We start from the raw sequence: 21,882 nt of genomic DNA on the forward strand, positions 1-21,882 counted from the left end.
GTTAGCCAGGATGGTCTCGATCTCCTGACCTCGTGATCCGCCCGCCTCGGCCTCCCAAAGTGCTGGGATTACAGGTGTGAGCCACCGCACCCTGCCCATTTTAACCATTTTTAAGTCTGCAGTTCAGTGGTGGAGATATCCACATTATTGTACAAACATCATCACCATCCATCTTCAGAACTTTTTCATCTTCCCAAATGAAAACTGTTCCCATTAAATGCTAACTCTCCCTTCCCTCCTCCCCAAGCTTGGGCAACCAGCATTCTACTTCCTGTCTCTCTGAATTTGCCTACTCTAGGTACCTGAGGTAAGTGGAATCATACAGTGTGTGTCCTTCTGTGACTGGCTTATTTCACTTAGTACAATGTCTTTAAGGTTCATCCATGTCGTAGCATGTGTCAGAATTTTCTTCCTTTTTAAGCCTGAATAATATTCCATTGTATGCATAGACCACATTTTGTTTATCCGTTCATCTTGAGTAAATCCCAAGGAGTGGAATCCCTGGATCATGTGGCAATGCTATGTTTAACATTTTGAGGAACAGCCAGACTGTTTTCCAAAACAGTATCATTTTACATTCCTACCAGCAGTGTACCTATGAGGGTTCCAATTTTCCACATCCTTGCCAACATTTGTTATTATCTATCTGCTTCTATTTTGTATGTTTTGGAAATCTCCCAAATAAATAGTTTATAAAAAAGAGAAAATTAGCCAGGCGTGGTGAAGTACGCCTGTGGTCCTAGCTACTCAGGAGGCTGAGGCACAAGAGTTGCTTGAACCTGGAAGGTGGAGGTTGTGGTGAGCCAAGATGGTGCCACTGCACTCCAGCCTGGGTGACAGAACGAGACTCAGTCTCAAAAAAAAAAAAAAAAAAAAAAAAAAAAAAAAATTAGAAACTGTAAGTGAAAGTGTAAACTATGAAGTGCTTAGGTTAATTTGTTATTTGTTAGCATAGATTTGTGTGCCTGTCATGTGCCAGACACTGTTATGAGTATTTGGGATACAAACATAAGCAAAACACACACACATCTGTAGTCTTAAACTCAAGACTGGGCCTATCTGCTCCTCCAGAACCCCTTCCCTGGAAGCAGAGCTGAGCCTAGGACATCCATCCCACTCCCCAGGCCCTGCCCAGCTCTTGGGCATTTGGGAGGTGTCGGGGTGCAGGAGTAGAAGTCTGATGCCTGCACCGCAGCCCTGGCCTCCCTTAGCCCAGAGAGCCCTGCGTGTTCTCCACTTCCAGAGCTTGTTTTTCTTATCTATAAAATAAAGTGGGGCCGGGTGCAATGCCTCATACCTGTAATCCCAGAACTTTGGGAGGCTGAGGCAGGAGGATTGCTTGAGTCCAGGTGTTCAAGACCAGCCTGGGTAATACGATGAGACCCCACCCCCACCCCCCACCCCATCTCTACAAAAAATACAAAAATTAGTAATTAGCCGGGCATGGTGGCACGTGCCTGTAGTCTCAGCTGCTTGGGAGGCTGATTTGGGAGGATCGCTTGAGCCTGGAAGGTCAAGGCTGCGGTGAGCTGAGCTTGTACCACTGCACTCCAGCCCAGGCAACAGAGCCAGACCCTGTCTCAAATAATAAAATATAAAATAAAATAAGGCAGGTATGGTGGCTCACACCTGTAATCCCAGCACTTTGGGAGGTGGAGGTAGGCAGATCCCTTGAAGTCAAGAGTTCAAGACCAGCCTGGCCAATATGGTGAAACCCTGTCTCTACTAAAAATACAAAAATTAGCTGGGTGTGGTGGCACATGCTTGTAATCCCAGCTTCTTGGGAGGCTGAGGCGCGACGACTGCTTGCATCTGAGAGTCAGAGGTTGCAGTGAGCCAAGATTGTGCCACTGCACTCCAGCCTAGGCAACAGAACGAGACTCTGTCTCAAAAACAAAACAAAGCCGGGCGCGGTGGCTCATGCCTGTAATCCCAGCACTTTGGGAGGCCAAGGCGGGTGGATCACAAGGTCAGGAGATCGAGACCATCCTGGCTAACACGGTGAAACCCCGTCTCTACTAAAAATACAAAAAATTAGCCGGGTGTGGTGGTGGGCGCTTGTAGTCCCAGCTACTCAGGAGGTTGAGGCAGGAGAATGGCATGAACCCAGGAGACGGAACTTGCAGTGAGCCGAGATCGCACCACTGCACTCCAGCCTGGGCGACAGAGTGAGACTCTGTCTCAAATAAATAAATAAATAAATAAATAAATAAATAAATAAATAAATAAATAAAATATAATAAATAAAATGAAAGCTGGAATATGGGCCCACCTGGTATGAAGATGAGACAATTTCGGCCAGGCATGATGGCTTACACCTGTAATCCCAGCACTTTGGGAGGCCGAGGCAGGCAGATCATGAGGTCAGGAGATCAAGACCATCCTGGCTAACACGGTGAAACCCTGTCTCTACTAAAAATACAAAAAATTAGCCGGGTGTGGTGGCGGGAACCCGTAGTCCCAGCTACTCAGGAGGCTGAGGCAGGAGAATGGTGTGAACCCAGGAGGTGGAGCTTGCAGTGAGCTGAGATTGCGCCACTGCACTCCAGCCTGGGCGACAGAGCGAGACTCCGTCTCAAAAAAAAAAAAAAAAAAAAAAAAAAGATGAGACAATTTCGTGAAAGGAGAAGGAAAAGCGGACTTAGCCAGCTGCCTCAGTATTACCGGTATTAAGGACATTTTTCAAGGGGTGGGTACAGGCCCCACCGTTTTGAAGAGGCTTCTCATGGCAAACCACAGGCTACCAGGCCCATGGCTAATGTTCCAGGAACACACAATAATTTGTATCCCCCCTCAGACGGCTCACATGTCCCTTCCCAAGAGCAAGCATGCCCACTTCTCAAGCCTGGGAGTGTGCCCTTCCTTCAGCCAGGAAATCCACCTCCACTTCCCTCTTTTTGAATGAGGTCAGCTTTATTTATTTATATATTTCTTTCTTTAGACCATCTGAGCAGGCGTATTTATTTAATATTATTATTTTATTTAATAAAAAATAGAAACAGGGTCTCACTATGTTGCCCAGGCTGGAGTGCAGTGGCTAGTCACAGGCATGATCCCACTTCTGATCAACCTTGGAGTTTTGAGCTGTTCCATTTCTGACCTGGGTCTGTTCACCCCTCTTAGGCAACCTGGTGGTCCCCCACTCCCAGTAGGTCACTATATTGATGCTGAACTTAACATGGACTCTCGACTGCAGTACAACACTACAGCCCAGAACTCCGGGGCTCAAGAGATCCTCCTACTCAGCCTCCCAAGTGGCTGGAACTACAGGCGTGCTCCACTGCAGTCCCCTTTCTATCAGTCTGGATATCTCCTTCCCAGAGCTTCTCCGAACTCTGCCCCACCAGCAGAGCAAACCCCACCCTGCTCCGTGCCTAGCCCTTGGTTGGGGTATTCCTGGTAGCTGCTGTAGCTTAGTTCTGCCCTGCTGGCCTCCCCAAGTGGTGCCATCATCACTCGTGTGGCCCACTGCACTGTATTGGGCTGGCTTTTAGTAGGTATTCTTTTTTTTTTTTTTTGAGTTGGAGTCTCGTTCTGTCGCTCAGGCTGGAGTGCAGTGGTGCTATCTCAGCACACTGCAAGCTCTGCCTCCTGGGTTCGCGCCATTCTCCTGCTTCAGCCTCCCAAGTAGCTGGGACTACAGGCGCCCACCACCACGCCTGGCTAATTTTTTGTGTATTTTTTTTTAGTAGAGATGGGGTTTCAGTGTTAGCCAGGATGGTCTCGATCTCCTGACCTTGTGATCCGCCCCACCCCACCCCCCTCGGCCTCCCAAAGTGCTGAGATTACAGGCATGAGCCACCGGCCTTTAGTAGGTATTCAATAAAAACTTGAATCAGCAGGACGCAGTGGCTCACACCTGTAATCCCAGTGCTTTGGGAGGCCGAGGCAGGCATATCATGAAGTCAAGAGATCTAGACCATCCTGGCCAACATGGTGAAACTCTGTTTCTACTAAAAATACAAAATTAGCCGGGCGTGGTGGCGTGTGCCTGTAATCCCAGCTACTGGGGAGGCTGAGGCAGGAGAATTGCTTGAACCCAGGAGGTGGAGGTTGCAGTGAGCCAAGATCGCGCCACTGCACTCCAGCCTGGCGACAGAGCAAGACTCTGTCTCAAAAGAAAGGAAAAAAAAAAAAGCAAATATTGATCTTGATGAATCTATGCCTGGTAGGAATCACTAAAAGTTGAGAGGACTGAGAGATGGTGAGGACAGGGGTGGTGTAGGCCACTTCCTGAGGCGACGAGGCAGGCAGGGATTCTGCTCCAGAAGAGCCATGCATGTGGTGGAAGTGGCCTGGGTAAAGTGAGCTCTCAGGACAGGAGGAGAGGGTTAGCCCTAAGCAGATGAAAGAGTCCTGGCCAGGTGCGTGGCTCATGCCTGTAATTCCAGCACTTAAAGCTGGCCAAGGCGGGCAGATCACCTGAGGTCAGGAGTTCGAGACCAGGCTGGCCAACATGGTGAAACCCTGTCTACTAAAAATACAAAATTGGCCGGGCATGGTGGCGGGTGCCTGTAATCTCAGCTACTCGGGAGGCTGAAGCAGGAGAATCGCTTGAACCCGGGAGGTGGAGTTTGCAGTGAGCCTAGATCACGCCATTGCACTCCAGCCTGGGCAATAAAGTGAGACTTCGTCTCAAAAAAAAAAAAGAAAAAACATATATATATACACACACACAGCTGGCACCACCTGATCATTTTCCAGCACTTCCATTGCCCTCAAAAGTTCCTTCTTGCCTCTCTGCAGTCACTCCCTGCTCTGACTCCTGGCCCCAGGCAACTACTGCTTTTCTTTCATTTTTTTATCTTTATAGAGACAGGGTCTTGCTCTGTGTCCCAGGTTGGGGTGCAGTGGAATGATCATGGCTCACTGCAGCCTTAAACACCTGAGCTCATGCAATCCTCCCACCTCAGCCTCCCAAGTAGCTGGACTACAGGCATGTGCCACCATGATCAGCTATTTTAAATTTTTTTTTGGGACGGTGTATCCTTCTGTTGCCCAGTCTGAAGTGCAGTGGCGCAATCAGCTCACTGCAACCTACGCCTCCCGGGTTCAAGTGATTCTCCTGCCTCAACCTTCCGAATAGCAGAGATTACAGGTCCCTGCCGCCACGCCCAGCTAATTTTTGTATTTTTAGTTGAGATGGGGTTTTGCTATGTTGGCCAGGCTGGTCTGGAACTCCTGACCCTCAGGTGATCCACCCACCTTGGCCTCCCAAAGTGCCGGGATTACAAGCATGAGCCACACCTGGCCTTAATTTTTTCAGAGGGACAGGGTCTCACTTTGTTGCCTAGACAGTCTTGAACTCCTGGGCTCAAGCAATTCTACCTTTGCCTCCCAAAGTGTTGGGATTACAGGCGTGACTCACCATGCCTGGCTCAACTATCCTATGCTAAAATCATTTCTAGCATAATTTTGGTAGATTCCTTATGAGTTTCCTACCTAGACGACCATGTCATCTATAATTCTCTTGTCCAGTTTGCATGTCTTTTCAGCACTCACCACCCTCCCTGGCAGGATGGAACTTGATTATGGAAGGTTTGAAACAACAGTGAATTTTGAAGCAATAGGGTAAGAATTGTGGTCCTGGAGCAGTGCAAGGGCATTTTCAGCATGACATTCATGTGTCATCTAGCTCATCTTCTCACTCACTGGGCTGGGGATCCATCTTCTTGGTGGTACAGTCTCCAGCATGGGGGTTGCTGGGAGATGGGTACTTACCTGTGCATCTGGACCTATTTGCCATAAATGCTTTCCCAGTAACTCCAGGAGGATGAGTTCATTTGGGAGATCATTTATAGAGGTTCTATATTGACTTGATTCCCTCAAGTGCCTTATGTTTTTAATTGAAAGAAATCTTAAGATTTAATATTCTCTTGCTAGACCTGGGAAAAAACAAAATTGACTTTTTACCCTTTTTGCCATTCACTTCCTAGTTTAACACCGTAAACCTTTCTTCTAACACCTTTCAGTACGCAACAAAACTTAGCAGAATAAAATGGGGCTTTGGAGTTAAATTTAAATTCAGCCACTACTAAGACCTCAATTTACGTAATTCCTCCTGTATATTATCGAAGGGGATTAAGAACTTTTCAGAGAATTTAAAGGACTAAACGTGATTGCCATTTACCAAGCATTCAATACCTGCTTAGCACGAGACTGAGACAAGGTCTCTCCCTGCCTGTGCACTGCCCCCTTAGACACTGTCACATATCCAAGTCCCAGGCATTTCCTATCATTTTTATATATGGCGTTAGGCTCAGAATGCAAATCCTATATGCTATCTAACCAAGTTTTGTCTCTAGAACCACCAAATTTCAGAAGTGAAGACTTTTATTTAGCCATTACCACCCCCAGTCCCCAGAGGGACTCTTACCTATTGGGCTGATTTTTTCATCTTTTTTTTGAGATGGAGTTTCGCTCTTGCTGCTCAGGCTGCAGCGCAATGGTGCAATCCCAGCCCACCGCAACCTCCGCCTCCCAGGTTCAAGCGATTCTCCTGCCTCAGCCAGGATGGCTTTAAGTAGATTTGTAAAGAACTTTGAGACACTGTAAGGCCAAGGAATTAAGTGACTGTATTTAACACAGAAGGTATTCCATGAATAACATCAAAACAACGTGGACACTAAGAGAACACATGTAACTCATGGACGCAGGGGATGCATGTTGTCTGCATTCCTGTTTTCTGTGCCTACGTGTGCTCCACCCCACACCTGCTGAGTACATGCTGGGAAGACCATGTCAACCCTTGGAGCAGCTAGTGTTTAACCATCTCCTGCTAGCGCCTCATGTTTTACATTTTGGCACTAACTGTCATCCAGATACTCCCCTTTCCCCCTAAATAAGACACTGTCACACAATATCTTTTAACTCATCTGTATTTGTTACAACTTTAAGCAGAATGTGACTCGAGCACTACATTTCCATCCACAAGACTGGGTCTGAGTTATTTTTGAACAGCTTTACGATATGCTTAGGTAGGCTTTTAACTTTGCTCCTCCAAACAATACTTTTCTTTGGAAAACAAGCCCTGTGGAGAGATCCTTCCATCAAGTTGCTTCAGTTTAACCTATTTCTAGAGGACTAGTACATGCAGAATTGTCAACTACAGGGAATGAAAAGTTCAAAAAGTAGATCCTACAAGATGTAACGAATACTTTTCTAAACATCAAGATACAGCTCAGAACACTTCAATAACAAGATTTGGTCTACTTAGGCATCCGGCTTGACAGCTAAACACTTTAGACCACAAAGTTAACATCATGTTACATACGTCTTACAGTGCACGTTACCCCAATCTGTGAAAATAAACCAACATGAAACTCAAAAAGCATTACTAGCTCTGCTTTAGTGCCTAAGGTATCACAGCATCACTTAGTAGACAGAAATCTTATCTTCCCCTTAAAGTAGTTGTCATGCCATACAGACTTTTTAATATTAACAAAAATAAAGAAAAACATCCTTGAAAATATATTATCAGAGGAATTGTAGAGTACTGAACAGGTAAGTCATCCCTCAGCCAGAGATTAGTCTACTTCTTCCATGCGTGATGTGTCGTCATCTCCTTCAAGGGGTGGCATTTCTTCAGTTACAGCAGCACTGGTATCATCAGCAGTAGGGTCATCTTCATCAATACCTGTTTCCAAAATAAAATCCTCATATTACAAAGATTTCTTAAAGCCAGCTATTAGGGTAATACTCTTGGTTTCTATCTGCTTTCAAGACAGTATTACAGGACATATGAGTCTCAATTTCATTTCTTTGCTCTTGTAAGACCTTACTTATCCCTAAAAAAAACATACTTTAATACCTCCAAGCAGCAAGCAGGACAAGGTGCTCCAAGTTTGGATAACTGAAAGTTCACCATTTTCTTCAATGTCACGTGTGTTTATTTTCTTTTTAACATTACATAGTATAAGGCTTACCCAGACCAAGTTTGATCATCCTGTAGATCCTGTTAGCATGTGTCTGGGGATCTTCCAGACTGAAGCCAGAAGACAGGAGCGCAGTTTCATAAAGCAAGATGACCAGATCCTTCACAGACTTGTCGTTCTTATCAGCCTCTGCCTTTTGCCTTAAGGTCTCAATAATGGAATGGTCAGGGTTTATCTCCAGGTGTTTCTTTGCTGCCATGTAACCCATTGTTGAGTTGTCTCTTAGGGCTTGAGCTTTCATGATTCTCTCCATGTTTGCTGTCCAGCCATATGTGCTTGTGACAATACAGCATGGAGATGTCACCAATCGGTTTGACACAACCACCTGTAATCAAAAAGTGATGACTAGGAACCTAGAAAGATTAATTCCTAAACTTTCATTGTGAAATGAAATCTGTAGAACCCAAATTTCAATAGATCCAAAATACTATCTACTGTCAAATACAACTTAAATGTCGCATTAGGTATCCAAAGAGCACAGGTTATAATTTCATGTTTTACATGCACAATTTTTTTTTTGAGATAGAGTCTCGCTCCATCACCCAGGCTGGAGTGCAGTGGTGCGATCTTGGCTCACTGCAACCTCCGCCTCCTGGGTTCAGGCGATTCTCCTGCCTCAGCCTCCCAAGTGGCTAGGATTACAGGCCGTGCCACCACGCCTGGTTTATTTTTTTCTATTTTTAGTAGAGACTGAGTTTCACCGTGTTAGCCAGGATGGTCTCGATCTCCTGACCTTGTGATCCGCTGCCTCAGCCTCCCAAAGTGCTGGGATTGCAGGCGTGAGCCACCGCGCCCAGCCACACACAACATAGTTTTCTGTTTTAAGTTGAAAACATGCGAAAATGGGCTATGTATGACTAAGCTTGAAAGCACCTTAGAAGTATCAATGATCAGGAAATGCTGTATTCACATACCTTTTCAACTTTTTTCTCCAATATGTCTTTCATGATTTTGCAGAGGTTCTCAAACTTTGTTTTTTTCTCTTCCTGCTTCTTTTTCTCTTCTTCATCCTCTGGAAGTTCCAGGCCTTCTTTGGTGACTGACACTAAAGTCTTCCCCTCAAATTCCTTCAGCTGTTGGACACAGTACTCATCAATGGGCTCAATCATATAGATCACTTCTAAGCCATGTTTCCGAAGACGTTCCACAAAGGCTGAGTTAGCTACCTGGTCCTTGGTCTCACCTGAGGTATTACAAAGTTACTTTTAGACCTTTTAACAGTTAAGAATGGTTTCATCTAGCTCTGACTTTTCTTGCTAGCCAGATACCTAGGCAGAACCTAAGACAGAAAATGACCTAGTTCATGTTAATTATCTTGCCTAGATCAATACCAGTTGTAACAGTGCTACCTGAGTAGAAAACACACCCACAGAGCCTACAAGATTGTAAGAACGACGTGTATGACTGTAACATAGTGTTCTCTTACCTGTGATATAATAGATATGTTTCTGGTTCTCCTTCATTCTGGTGCAGTAGTCCTTGAGAGAAACCATCTCATCACCAGAGGCAGATGTGTAGTACCTTAACAGCTCTGAAAGCTTCTTCCGATTTTGAGAGTCTTCGTGTATTCCAAGCTGAAACAAAGTATGTTCTTTACAAAGACTTTCTGAATTAAAAAAAAAAAAAAAAAACTAAAGAGGCCAATTGGAAAACTAATGGTTATTTACACCAACCTTTATGTTTTTAGAGAACTGCTCATAGAATTTCTTGTAGTTCTCTTTATCTTCCGCCAGTTCAGTAAAGAGTTCTAAGCATTTTTTGACCAAATTCTTCCTGATAACTTTCAAAATTTTGCTTTGTTGCAACATCTCACGGGATATGTTTAGAGGGAGATCCTCCGAGTCTACCACCCCTCTAATGAAGTCTGAAAAAAATATAAACCAAATGCACTGAGTCATTCCAAGGACAAAACTGGTACTATGTAAACTCCCAAAATCAAAGATAACCTGAAGATGATGGGACGTATTTTTGAGACAGTCTCACTCTGTTGCCCAGGCTGGAGGGCAGTGGCGCAATCTCCACTCACTGCAACCTCTGCCTCCCGGGGGGGTTCAAGCTGTTTTCATGCCTCAGCCTGCCACTACATGGGGCTAATTTTTGTAATTTAGTAGAGATGGGGTTTCACCATGTTGCCCAGGCTGGTCTTGAACTCCTGACCTCAAGTGATCTGCCCACCCCGGCCTCCCAAAGTGCTAGGATTATAGGTGTGAGCCACCATGCCCACCCAGAAAGTACTTCTTTAATCAGTGACAGTGATTATTTTTCCTATCTATACTTACTCAGATATTCAGGGATTAGCTCCTCACAGTTATCCATGATGAAAACTCTGCGTACATACAATTTGATGTTGTTCTTTTTCTTTCTGTTTTCAAACAGATCAAAAGGAGCACGTCGTGGGACAAATAGAAGGGCTCTGAATTCCAACTGTCCTTCAACTGAAAAATGCTGTAATAAAACAGATACACTAAGTACCAATGAACAATGCATTATAGAAGATATTTGGGGTGGTGGAGAAAGATGATAATCTAAGGACAAGCTTGAAGCACCCATCAGTCACTCACCTTCACTGCCAAGTGATCTTCCCAGTCATTGGTCAAGCTCTTATAGAATTCTCCGTACTCCTCATTAGTAATATCGTCGGGATTTCTGGTCCAGATGGGCTTTGTTTTGTTGAGCTCTTCTTGATCGATGTACTTTTCCTTAATCTTCTTCTTCTTCTTCTTGTCACCATCCTTCTTTTCTTCTTCCTCATCAGAACCAACATCTTCAATTTCAGGTTTGTCTTCCGACTCTTTCTCTTCTTTTTCTTTTTCTTCTTCTTTGTCTTCCTTTTCTTCAGCCTCATCATCGCTTACTTCTTTATCACGTTCCTTCTCCACCTTCAAAAGAAAACACGAAATCACATCACTGCTGCACTCCAGAACTAAGCGACAGCGCTGCACCACTATTTTCAACCTAAGGCCCAAGTCTAAATTAGCCAACTTGAGAAGCACCCAGCTTTTCATCAATATTTGATACATCCACTTAATAGCCCGAGGAACTTTTACAGAGTTAGGTAGTAGAGCTTAGGTTCCCCAGGCTTCAGACTAGTTGAACAGATCTAGGGACTAAGGATGTAGTACAGTCACCCCAATCACCTACAGACAGAAATTCACTCTGCAATTACATAAAAACTTACAAAAAGAGTAATGGGATATCCAATAAACTGAGAATGTTTCTTCACAATCTCCTTTATTCTTCGTTCCTCCAAGTACTCAGTTTGGTCTTCTTTCAGGTGTAGGATAACTTTTGTTCCACGACCCATAGGTTCACCTGCAAGAGAAGAAAGAAAAATTGACTTAATACATTCAATTTAGTGCTCAACGCCATGCCTAACACCCTTATAACGTGTCTATAAAGCAAGGTTTGCCGTTACTACAGATGCAAAGGCCACCACAGCAGAACCTTTTGGGCAAGGTGCCTCGCCCAAAAGAACCGCCCACCAAGTCATGCCATTACACTAATTAAGTGCTCTAGCTTGTTCCTGATCGTTGGGCAAACACAAATTCTGTAAGCTTCACCGCATCCCCAGGGGTCCAAGGGTTGCAGCACCCCACCCTTCCACCGCTCACTTAACCAGTGAATGTTCAGGTGCCTACCTGTGTCTGTCCTCACTGTGAATGATCCCCCTGCTGAGGACTCCCAAGCGTACTGCTCATCATCGTTATGTTTGGTGATCACAGTTACTTTCTCAGCAACCAAATAAGCAGAATAAAAACCAACACCGAACTGGCCAATCATAGAGATATCTGCACCAGCCTGCAAAGCTTCCATGAACGCTTTGGTCCCAGACTTGGCGATAGTACCAAGGTTATTGATCAAGTCAGCCTTGGTCATTCCAATTCCAGTATCCACAATAGTGAGAGTTCGATCTTGTTTGTTCGGTATAAGGTTAATATGCAGCTCTTTCCCAGAGTCTAATTTACTGGGATCTGTCAAGCTTTCATACCGGATTTTGTCCAATGCCTGTTAACAAAAAATATTAATTTAAGCATACAGCACCCCCAAGAAGTTCACACTGAAACCAAAATCCGATTCTGGGTTAATAAGTGACTTACATCTGATGAATTTGAAATGAGCTCTCTCAGAAAGATCTCTTTGTTCGAGTAGAAAGTATTGATGATCAATGACATCAACTGGGCAATTTCTGCCTGAAAGGCGAACGTCTCAACCTCCTCCTCCTCCATCGGTTGGTCTTGGGTCTGGGTTTCCTCAGGCATCTGGAACGACACCGCGCCGGTTTAAAACCTTGCAGGACGTCTACAGAGGCAACACGAAATTCCATCGCGTTCTCCAAATATTTTTAAAGCCGAATTGGAGATTTGCGAAGTTTAAGTAAACCGAAAATAGAAGGGCGGCTGACAAAGGATGACCTCATTTCGGAGCGCGGCAACTACCACGAGCGTGTGCGCGCTTCCGGGAGGCCGCCGCAGGCCCGGGCCCAGTCCCCCGCCGCGGTCCCCAACGAACACCCCGGGTGCCCTCCCGCGCGGGCTGCGGCTCCGCCACGGCGGCCTCCTCCGCCTGCGCCCCCAGCGGGGCCGGGCGGGGGACCCCCGCGGCGGGGCCGCTCTGTTCGCGTGCGGCGCCAGCTCTGGCGCTGCTGCAGAGCCTCGGGGAGCCCGCGGCCGCCCGGCCCATTCCTGAAGCGGGGTGCGGAAACCGCAGCGGTCCCGAGGCCTCCGGAATAGAAAGCGCGGCCGCCCGGGAGCGCGGCCCTGGCTGCTTCAGGGATCTGGTCCGGCCCCCACAGCCTCCGCCCCGCGCCAGCCGCCCCCAGTCCCGGTCCCCAGTCCACCTCCACAGGCCCCCACAACCACCCGTCACCTTGGCTAAGTGACCGCACAGGACCAACGGCACAGCCACACCGGGACGCTGAAGCAACTGACGCGCCACCCCCGCGCCTGCCTTATATAGCGACGGGCCCGCCCAGCGCGCGGCGCTTTTTCCAGAAGCCTCCCGAACCTTCCGGAAGAACCCTCCCCAGCCGCCGCCGCGGCCGCGCGCCTACGCATGCGCCGTTGCCGCGGCACCCCGCCCCCGCGCCTTCCTGCGGGCGCGCGCAGGCCCTGCTCGTGGCCCGGCCCGGGCAACCTTCCCTCAATCGCCGCCGCGCGCCTCTCGCACGCCCCCGCGCCGGCCTCAATGCGCCTGCGCGGCCCGGAATTCTCGGGAAGGTCCGGGCGCCTTCTGGGGCCGCCCGCGCCCTCCGCCCTGCACCCCCACCTGCCGCGGGCGGGCGGAGGGCACGCCCGGGCGTGGGGGCCTTTGAAGTGAGGTGTAGTTGGTCACCCGGGCTGAGCGGAACGCGGGGCCGGGGTGGGAGGCGCGCCTGGAGGGAGGGTCGTGCGTGGACGGAGAGCGGCCCGGGTCTCACGCGCCCGGGAGACTTCCGGAGCCGTCGTCCTGACTGGCGCCGCGCCCGCTGCCAAAGAATCCAGCCGCAAGCGGCGCCGGGATCGCGGGGCTCTGCCCTCTGGGGGCTGTTAGCCTCAGGCTGCTGCGCACTGGGGAGGCTGTCCCGCGGCCTGCGCGCTCGGGGATTCTCCAGACCCACCGCTGGCTCGGGAGCGCTCCCTACTTTTGGGTTCCCCGAAAGCCATGTGCTTCATACTTAAGGGTCCCTTAGCTTGGGAATCGGGGACTTGGTGAACAAATTCATGCTTACCCAGCTACACCCGGCATGATTTTGAAAAGCCCATCGTTTTGCCGACCGATTTGCGGTCTCCAAATTAAGTATCTAACACTTTGGTGATTAACTTGCCCTAAAAGGTTTTTTTTTTTTTTTTTTTCTTTTTTTTTTTTTTGGACAGGCTCTCGCTTTGTCGCCCAGGCTGGGGTGCCGCGGCGGAATCTCGGCTCACTGCAGCCTCGACCCTCCCGGGCTCAGGTGATCCTCCCGCCTCAGCTTTCCCAGTAGCTGGGACGAGCGTGGGCAGAGGACCACAGGCGCGGACACCACACCTGTCTAGTTTTTGTATTTATTTGTAGAGTCGGGGTTTCACCATGTTGCCCAGGCTGGAAAAGCCAGTTTCTACATGGGAATTTTCGGATATTTTGGCCAAGGCCAGCTGTGGGAACCTTGGAGGCATTGGGGTTCCTTCGACCTGGCTTCCCTGCCTAGTCCATGTCCTCTTCCTCTTTGTCTCTGGCGCCTCCCATGATTGGGCCGCCTCCTGCCTAGACTCATAGCCAGGCCCTCGGAATAATCTGAAAGCTCCTTGCCGTGTAAAGAAACGATGGAACTACCTCCGCTTCCTGGTCTTTAGGGAAACGCAACTTGCTCAGGAGCAGGGGTTTTCAGACTGCGGCCTGGGACCCCCTTAAGAGCGTGTGAAATCAACATAAAGCGTCTTGCCTGGCATTACAAAGCGGGGGAAGTGGAAGGAAACTAGCAGCCACGTGGCGCGGGCCCCAGCGGTGGTGACCGGGTGTGTGCCTGGTCCTGTGGTAGCTGTTGCGCAGCCTGGGGGCGCGCCCCCGGCCCAGGCTTTCCTACAGCTGCAGCCTGGACTGGCGGGGAGGAATCCGGAAGCAGGAAGAGCGGTGAGCGGGTCGCTGAAGGGGCGCAAGGTCTTCCCTGGCGACTGCCGCCTTTGCCTGTTTCCTTCCTGTCACCACCAGCCACTGTCCCCGCTCTCCTCACTTGTAGGAACTTTTCCTACCGCAGTTTCTGCCATTGCCCAGGGGGTTTGAGATATAGAGGAGCCATCCAGGGCCCTAACTCTGACGTTCTTTTTTTTCTTTTCTTTTTTTTTTTTTTTTAGACAAAGTCTCACTCTTGGTCCCCCAGGCTCGAGGGCAATGGCACAATCTCTGCTCACTGCAACCTGCTCACTGCAACCTCTACCTCCTGGGTTCAAGCGATTCTCCTGCCTTAGCCTCCCGAGTAGCTGGGATTACAGGCACCCACCACTACGCCCGGCTAATTTTTGTATTTTTAGTAGAGACGGGGTTTCACCATGTTGGCCAGGCTGGTCTCGAACCCGTGACCTCAGGTGATCCGCCCGCCTCGGCCTCCCAAAGTGCTGGGATTACAGGCGTGAGCCACGGCGCCCGGCCAGCTCTGACATTCTTTGTCCTTTGTTTTGGGGACCTTCATTTACCCCCATTTCTCCAGTGAACCTGCTCCAAAGCCCCTCCCTGGGTCTGGGCATCACTGGGAACCACTGTTTCCCGTCAGGCCCCATCTTTAATGTCCCTTCTTCCTTCCACAACTTCTTGTCTTTCCAGCTCTCCCCCCTCGGTTAATAAACAGGACATTTTTGTCCTGTCTCCAGGTGACATTCCACAGTTACCCACCAGGTGCGAACTCTGTAATGGTTTCTACCATCAACACGCCAGCCCCTGGCTGTTCCTTCTCTCTTCTCAGACTCATGCCCCTCTCCCTGGCACATCACGGAGCTCTTGGAGGTGGGTCTTTGCCCCCAGGAAATCTTGTCCAGCACTCTCACTAATAGAACTTGTGTGCAGATGACTCACGGAAGAGCCCGGCCAGGACTCAGCTCCAGACCTGGATGCTGAGCCTCATGAGCTTCCCCCCTGTCTCCAGCCCTCTTTGAGGGCTCGTTAGCCAGGTCACTGACTATCCCACCTTAAAGAACCCCAAGCATCCCCACAACGGATCTGGCACTGAGTCCTGCCACTTCTGCCTCCTAAGTACCTCTTGAACCCAGCCACTTCCCTCCACCTTCATCCCCCGCTTCCACACAACCGTCAGCTCACCTGGAAGGCCTCCATAACCACCTAACTGCTCCCTGCATATGGTCTGGTCTGTCTCCAAACTGTAGCCAGGGTGAGCTTTGAGAACACAGACCTGGCCCTATCTATTCCCTCCTCCCCACCCTCTGCAAATTCTAGCTGACTTCCCATCCTTCTAGGAGGAAGACAGAGCTCTTTAGGCCTGTGAGGCCCTGCAGGTCGCTGCTGCCTCCCCATACAGCGCCAGTTCCCACTGTGCTCCTATTTCTGTGTCTGGCGCACTCCCCATGACTCGCCCCCACGAGGCTGTGCAAATGCTGTTCCCTCTGCCTGGAACACCATTCCCTCTGTTCTTCTCTAATTAATTTTTAATGGATCTTCTGCTCACACATTTTCTTAGGAACCCCACCTGCCTCCCACCAGGCCAGGTGTCCTGTCATGGAGAGGTTCTCAGAATGTGGTGCCCTCTCCTTCAGAGTACAGACCACATGTGCTCCTCTGCTTCCTCTAGCCCTCCAACCCCAAGTTCTTCCACTCCTGCTTCACCGCCTTTTCTGTCCAGCCTCCTCCTCTTCCTTCCTCAACAACATATTTCTTTTTTTTTTTTTGAGACGGAGTCTTGCTCTGTCGCCCAGGCTGGAGTGCAGTGGTGCGATCTTGGCTTGTTACAAGCTCCGCCTCCCGGGTTCACGCCATTCTCCTACTTCAGCCTCCCTAGTAGCTGGGACTACAGGCGCCCGCCACCACACCTGGCTAATTTTTTGTATTCTTTAAGTAGAGAGGGGGTTTCACCGTGTTAGCCAGGATGGTCTTGATCTCTTGACCTTGTGATCCGCCCGCCTTGGCCTCCCAAAGTGCTGGGATTAGAGGCGTGAGCCACAGTGCCTGGCCTCAACAACGTATTTCTAATAGATCACCAAGCCTTGCAGATTTAGCATCCTAAATATTTGTTGACCTCGTCCCACAGTGATGTTGCTGTTAGGGCAATCTGACCATTTTCCTCCTCTATTTGAAAGCTTTCAGTGTCCCTCAGTAAAGCTGGAGCATGGATTCTGGATCCAGGTGGCCTGGATTCAGATCTTAGCTCAGCCACTGCCTGTGTGACCCAGGGCAAGTCACTTACCCTTTCTATGCATCCAGTTCAGTATCTGTAGCATAGACATGAACATGTCTTCTTCATAGAGTGGTTATGAAGCTTAAATGAGCCACTTCTGGTTTTGGAGATGGCTCAGGTGATAGCCTACCCCATAGCAATTTATGCCCCCTCACTTGCTTGCCAGGCAGCAGGCTAGCTACTTTGCATGCAGTTTCTTAGTCCTCTCGACTCTGAAGTAGGTGTCTTTGGTCCCACTGTACAGTTGAGAACACTGAGGCTTAGGAGAGGTAAGTCCTTTACTCAGGGTCACCCAGAGCAAGGGCCTCCAGGGCAGTTACACCCAGGTCTGGCTCATGATTTTTGTTTTATCCTGATAAACAGTCTCAGCTGGGTGCAATGGCTCACACCTGTAATCCCAGCACTTTGGGAGGCTGAGGCAGACCAATCAATTGAGGTCAGAAGTTTGTGACCAGCCTGGACAACATGGTGAAACCCCATCTCTACAAAAAATACAAAAAAATTTAGCTGGGTGTGGCAGCACACACCTGTAGTCCCAGCTACTCGGGAGGCTGAGGCAGGACAATTGCTTGAACTCAGGAGGCAGAGGCTGCAGTGAGCCGAGATTGCACCACTGCACTCCAACCTGGGCAACAGAGTGAGACTGTCTCAAAAAAACAAACAAACAAAAAAAGAGACAGTCTCACTCTCTTGCCCAGGCTGGAGCACAGTGGCACAAACATGGTTCACTACACCATCAGCCTCCTGGGCGCAAGTGATCCTTCTGCCTCAGCCTCCTGAGGAGCTGGGACCACAGGCATGTGCCACCACACCCAGCTAAATTTTATTTTTTTTGTAGAGATGAGGTCTTGCCATATTACCCAGGCTGGTCTTGAACTCCTGGACTTAAGGAGTCCTCCCACTGTGGCCTCCCAAAGTGCTGGGATTACAGGTGTGAGCCACCACAACTGCCCTTGGCTCATTCATTTTGATACATTTTCTCATTTTCATTCAGCTCAAAATATTTTTAAAATTTCCTTTTATTTCTTGACTCATGGGTTATTTTTACATGTTTTACTTTTCAAATAGTTGGAGGTTTTTCAGATTTTTTTTGTTACTGATTTTTTTTTTTTTGAGACAGTCCCGCTCTGTCGCCCAGGCTGGAGTGCAGTGTCGCGTGCTCTTGGCTCACTGCAACCTCCGCCTCCTGGGTTCAAGCAATTCTCATGCCTCTGTCTCCCAAGTAGCTGGGATTACATGCATGCGTCACCACACCTGGCTGACTTTTTTGTATTTTTAGTAGAGATGGGCTTTCACCATGTTCACCAGGCTGGTCTCAAACTCCTGGCCTCAAGTGATGTGCCTGCCTCGGTGTCGCAAAATCCTGGGATTACAGGAGTGAGCCACCATGCTATTATTGATTTCTAATATTTAATTCCATTGTGGTCAGAGAACATACTTTGCATGATTTAAATCCTTTTAAATTTATTGGGCCTTGTTTAATGGCCCAGAATATGGTCTATTTTGTTTAAATGTTCTTTTTGAAAAATAATTATGCTGAGAAAGATGCCAGTCAGTCATTTATATAAAATTTTAGAAAATGCAAACTAATCTATAGTGACAAAAAGCAGATCACTGGTTGCCTGTAGGAGGTGGGGCAGACAGGGGCAGGAGGGAAGGATCACAGGGACCTGAGGAAACTTTTGGATGATGAATCTTCATTATTTTGATTGTAGTGATGGTTTCCTAGGTATATACATATGTTGAAATACATCAAATTGTACTTTAAACATGTGCAGTTTATTGTTGTTTTTATTTTTTTGAGACAGGGTCTGTCACTCAGGCTGGAGTGCAGTGGCAAAATCTCGGCTCACTGCAGCCTCTGCCTCCTCAGTTCAAGTAACTCTCATGCTTCAGCCACCTAAGTAGCTGGGACACGTGCGCCACCATGCCCAGCTAATTTTTGCTTTTTAATAGAGACATGGTTTCACCAAGTTGCCCAAGCTGGTCTTGAACTCCTGGCCTCACGTGATCCGCCTGCCTCGGCCTCCCAAAATGCTGGGGTTACGGGCGTGAACCACCGCGCCCAGCCAACAGCTGTTTTTAAATAATCAATGTTTAGCAAACCTTGTAGAAAGTTGAAGAAATGTTCAGGATCAACCTATAGTTATATAGGAAAATTAAGTGGTTCATACTTAGGAAAGAAAAATTGTAAATCAGTGTAGTGTGGGAAAAGTAAATTAAAAAATATATATATATATATTTAAAAAAAAAAAGGCCGGGTGCAGTGGCTCACGCCTGTAATCCCAGCACTTTCGGAGGCCAAGGCGGGCGGATCACAAGGTCAAGAGATTGAGACCATCCTGGCCAACATGGTGAAACGCTGTCTCTACTAAAAATACAAAAATTAGCTGGGCGTGGTGGCATATGCCTGTAATCCCAGCTACTCGGGAGGCTGAGGCAAGAGAACCGCTTAAACCCGAGAGCACACCACTGCACTCCAGCCTGGTGACAGAGCAAGACTCCGTCTCAAAAAAAAAAAAAAAAAAATTCTGTCATTTCTTGGAGACACAGTTTCCGAGAAAGATGGCATCAGTTAAAGCACGGGTCTGGAGCCAGATTGTGAATTCTGGTCCTGCCACTCGCTGGCTGTGTGACTGTGAGCAAGCTTCTCAGCCTCTCTGTGCTTTGGTCTAAATCTCTCTACAATAGGTGTGACCATAGAAGGGATGTGAAAGGGCCAGGCGAGGTAGCTGATGCCTTTACTCCCAGCATTTTGGGAGGCCGAGGCGAGTGGATCACCTGAGGTCAGGAGTTAGAGACCAGCCTGGCCAACGTGGTGAAACCCCAGCTCTACTAAAAATACAAAGAATTAGCCAGGCATGGTGGCATGCACCTGTAATCCCAGCTACTCAGGAGGCTGAGGCAGGAGAATCACTTGAACCTGAGGGGAGGAGGTTGCAGTGAGCCAAGATTGTGCCACGGCACTCCAGCCTGAGTCTTTTTTCTTTTTTCAAAAAAGAAAAAAGAAGGAAGGTGGGAGGACCCGGGAGCGGGTGCTGGCCATTGATGTTTCAGAGTCGACCCTAAAGTGGATTTCCACGGAGCAACCCAGTTTTTCCATTGAGTAACTATAAAATCGGGATGCTTCAGTACCAAAACTTCACCAAGCAAGTTTCAACCCATCCTTCAAAGGCCGGCTTGGGGTTGGTCACTTCTTGAATTCACCACATGCTGCCGCCGGGAAGCCGGCAAACTCGTTCCCCTCCCCTCCCACTGTTGGCAGCACTGAGTGCGGCTGAAAAAAAATGTCTGGCCACATTGATAAGCCAGAAATGGAGCCTTACTGTTCATTATTTGTCTGTTCACCATTCTGTTCATATCTGTTTACCAAAAGCCCATGTCCAGGCCCTGGGTCAAAGTGGGAGCAAAATTGGGTCCTGACCATTGTGGTCGAGGCAGGCATAAAGCCCCCACCACCTAAATATGTGGACTTAGAAACTCTTGAAGAGTGCTAGGATGGTGAGGGGCACCCCATGCACTGAGGAGGGCAGGTGCTGGCTGTGGGGAGGGAGTGTGGGGAAGGGCATGCAGGAGAGGGAGGGAACAGAGTTTGCAAGAGCCCTGAGGGTCTGCGGTGAAATATAGAAGGAATACTAGGAGTTAGCCAGGGAACAGTGAGAAGGCAAGAATTAAAAAGAAAATGGAGGCTGGAAAATTCCTTCAGTGCAGTGGGTAGGGGGACACGGAGCCCCTCTTGGGGCAGGGGTTGGCCACTGGAGCTGAAGTCAGAGGTAGGCAGGGGCCAAGGGACTGGAAACGTGGCCTGGAGATCATAGGAGGCATTGTGGCATCTTCCCAGGAGCTGCAGTCTGACCCGCATCCACTCTGACCGTGGTGTGTAGGAAGCACGCTTCCAATGAGACCTGAGGAGAGCCTGTCCCTGAAGAGTTGGTGGGTGTAGCAGGGGCAAACTTGGGAGAGGTCAGGGGAGCGAGTTAACAGGGTGAAGCACAGGAGCCCCAGAGGCTCCCGGGTGGGTGAGGCTGTGTTCACCAGGGGAACATAGGGCTCAGGCAGATGATGGCAGGTGACCCTTGCCAATGGTTCAGTGTCACCTTTGTTGGACCACAGTGTCTGCTGCGCATCCACGTGGATGGGCCTCCAATGAACAGGATGCTGGGAACATGAGCAGGAATGTGGTAGAAGGGATGTATTGAGAAGGAAGGCAATGGGACAGGCATGGATGGGCACAAAGACGGTTCCCAGGATGGCAGTCTCAGTAGGGCCAGAAAGCCTGGGATCTCAGAGGAAGAGAGGCCTGGGGGACAGGAGGCTGTGCCTGTGAGAGGGTCCAGTCCTGGGGGTGCTTGGGTGTGGGAGCACCTGTGGGAGAGGGGTGGCGGGACTCTTTCTTCCCTATCACCCCTCACCTGCAGGCCTCCCTAGCCTCCCTCCTGCGGAAGCCTCAGTCTGCATCCCCTGGCATCTGCTCTGAGTCAGGCAGGGGACAGATGTGCGTGAGCCCCTCTGAGTAAAGCACAAAGAACTGACAGAGCAGAGGCAGCTCCCTCAGGAACTTCTGTTCTAGTCGGGGAGGGACAGGCCAGAAACATACAAACAAGTGGGATGCCTTTGGGCATGCTCCTGTCTCCTAGCAGAACCAGGGGTCCTGGACACGAATTTGAACTCCTTCCCCAAAGTACTGCCATTTTCCCTTGAACTCACCTTCAAATCTTCTGAGTCATCTTTGACTCATCTCTTGCCTTCAGCCCCCACATTCTGACAGCTGACAAGTCTGGTGGATTTTTCCTTTAAAACGTTCTTTCTCTCTGTGCTTAGGGTCCTGCCCTGATCCAGGCCCTCAGGGCCCCACACCATTTCCACTTCCAGCTGGGTCTTGCTGGGTTTATCTATTCTACATTCCCGTTTTCATCTGCCCACTTCCCAGTGCAGAAAACCCCTGGGCTCCCAGGACACTGAGCCTGTAGTCCCTCTCTTGGTATTCAAATCCCAGGGCCTGGCTGACCCCACCTCTGCCTGCAACACACACCTTCCTTGGGAGGCCCCCTCCTGTGCCCATCTCCATGCCTGATCTTGGTGCTCTCAGACCTG

General features: G+C 49.0%; 1 protein-coding gene and 1 pseudogene across 3 annotated transcripts in view, besides 4 other annotated features; both read right to left on the reverse strand.

Annotated features, from left to right (window-relative positions):
* Nucleotides 2,995–3,284, reverse strand: RN7SL472P (RNA, 7SL, cytoplasmic 472, pseudogene; annotated as a pseudogene).
* Nucleotides 6,557–21,882, reverse strand: part of HSP90AA1 (heat shock protein 90 alpha family class A member 1) — a 59,008-nt gene continuing 43,682 nt past the window's right edge. For 2 of the 3 annotated variants that reach the window (XM_011536718.3, NM_001017963.3), the window contains exons 3-12: nt 12,032–12,193; nt 11,573–11,939; nt 11,113–11,246; nt 10,496–10,813; nt 10,214–10,379; nt 9,608–9,798; nt 9,361–9,508; nt 8,849–9,117; nt 7,926–8,259; nt 6,557–7,636 (exon numbers count right to left, since the gene is read on the reverse strand). In XM_011536718.3, the coding sequence (XP_011535020.1) occupies nt 7,527–7,636; nt 7,926–8,259; nt 8,849–9,117; nt 9,361–9,508; nt 9,608–9,798; nt 10,214–10,379; nt 10,496–10,813; nt 11,113–11,246; nt 11,573–11,939; nt 12,032–12,193 (2,199 nt within the window). In that variant the 3' untranslated portion in view covers nt 6,557–7,526. Of the gene's footprint in view, nt 7,637–7,925; nt 8,260–8,848; nt 9,118–9,360; nt 9,509–9,607; nt 9,799–10,213; nt 10,380–10,495; nt 10,814–11,112; nt 11,247–11,572; nt 11,940–12,031; nt 12,194–12,800; nt 12,860–21,882 lie in introns of those variants that run through there. The other variant, NM_005348.4, reaches the window with a different exon arrangement.
* Nucleotides 9,535–10,734: an enhancer, noted in NCBI's record as "BRD4-independent group 4 enhancer chr14:102550057-102551256 (GRCh37/hg19 assembly coordinates)". NCBI's record gives its function as "activates an origin of replication core promoter dependent on BRD2, P300/CBP, MED14 and CDK7 cofactors, and independent of BRD4, by STARR-seq in HCT116 cells {active_cell/tissue: HCT116}" and the evidence as "EXISTENCE:reporter gene assay evidence [ECO:0000049][PMID:35650434]".
* Nucleotides 12,447–12,736: a silencer, noted in NCBI's record as "silent region_6107". NCBI's record gives its function as "represses an Ori minimal core promoter by ATAC-STARR-seq in GM12878 lymphoblastoid cells {active_cell/tissue: GM12878}" and the evidence as "EXISTENCE:reporter gene assay evidence [ECO:0000049][PMID:35858748]".
* Nucleotides 12,777–13,306: a silencer, noted in NCBI's record as "silent region_6108". NCBI's record gives its function as "represses an Ori minimal core promoter by ATAC-STARR-seq in GM12878 lymphoblastoid cells {active_cell/tissue: GM12878}" and the evidence as "EXISTENCE:reporter gene assay evidence [ECO:0000049][PMID:35858748]".
* Nucleotides 13,367–13,416: a silencer, noted in NCBI's record as "silent region_6109". NCBI's record gives its function as "represses an Ori minimal core promoter by ATAC-STARR-seq in GM12878 lymphoblastoid cells {active_cell/tissue: GM12878}" and the evidence as "EXISTENCE:reporter gene assay evidence [ECO:0000049][PMID:35858748]".

The sequence above is a fragment of the Homo sapiens genome, chromosome 14, assembly GCF_000001405.40.
Source record: "Homo sapiens chromosome 14, GRCh38.p14 Primary Assembly".
NCBI classification, from domain to species: Eukaryota; Metazoa; Chordata; class Mammalia; order Primates; family Hominidae; genus Homo; species Homo sapiens.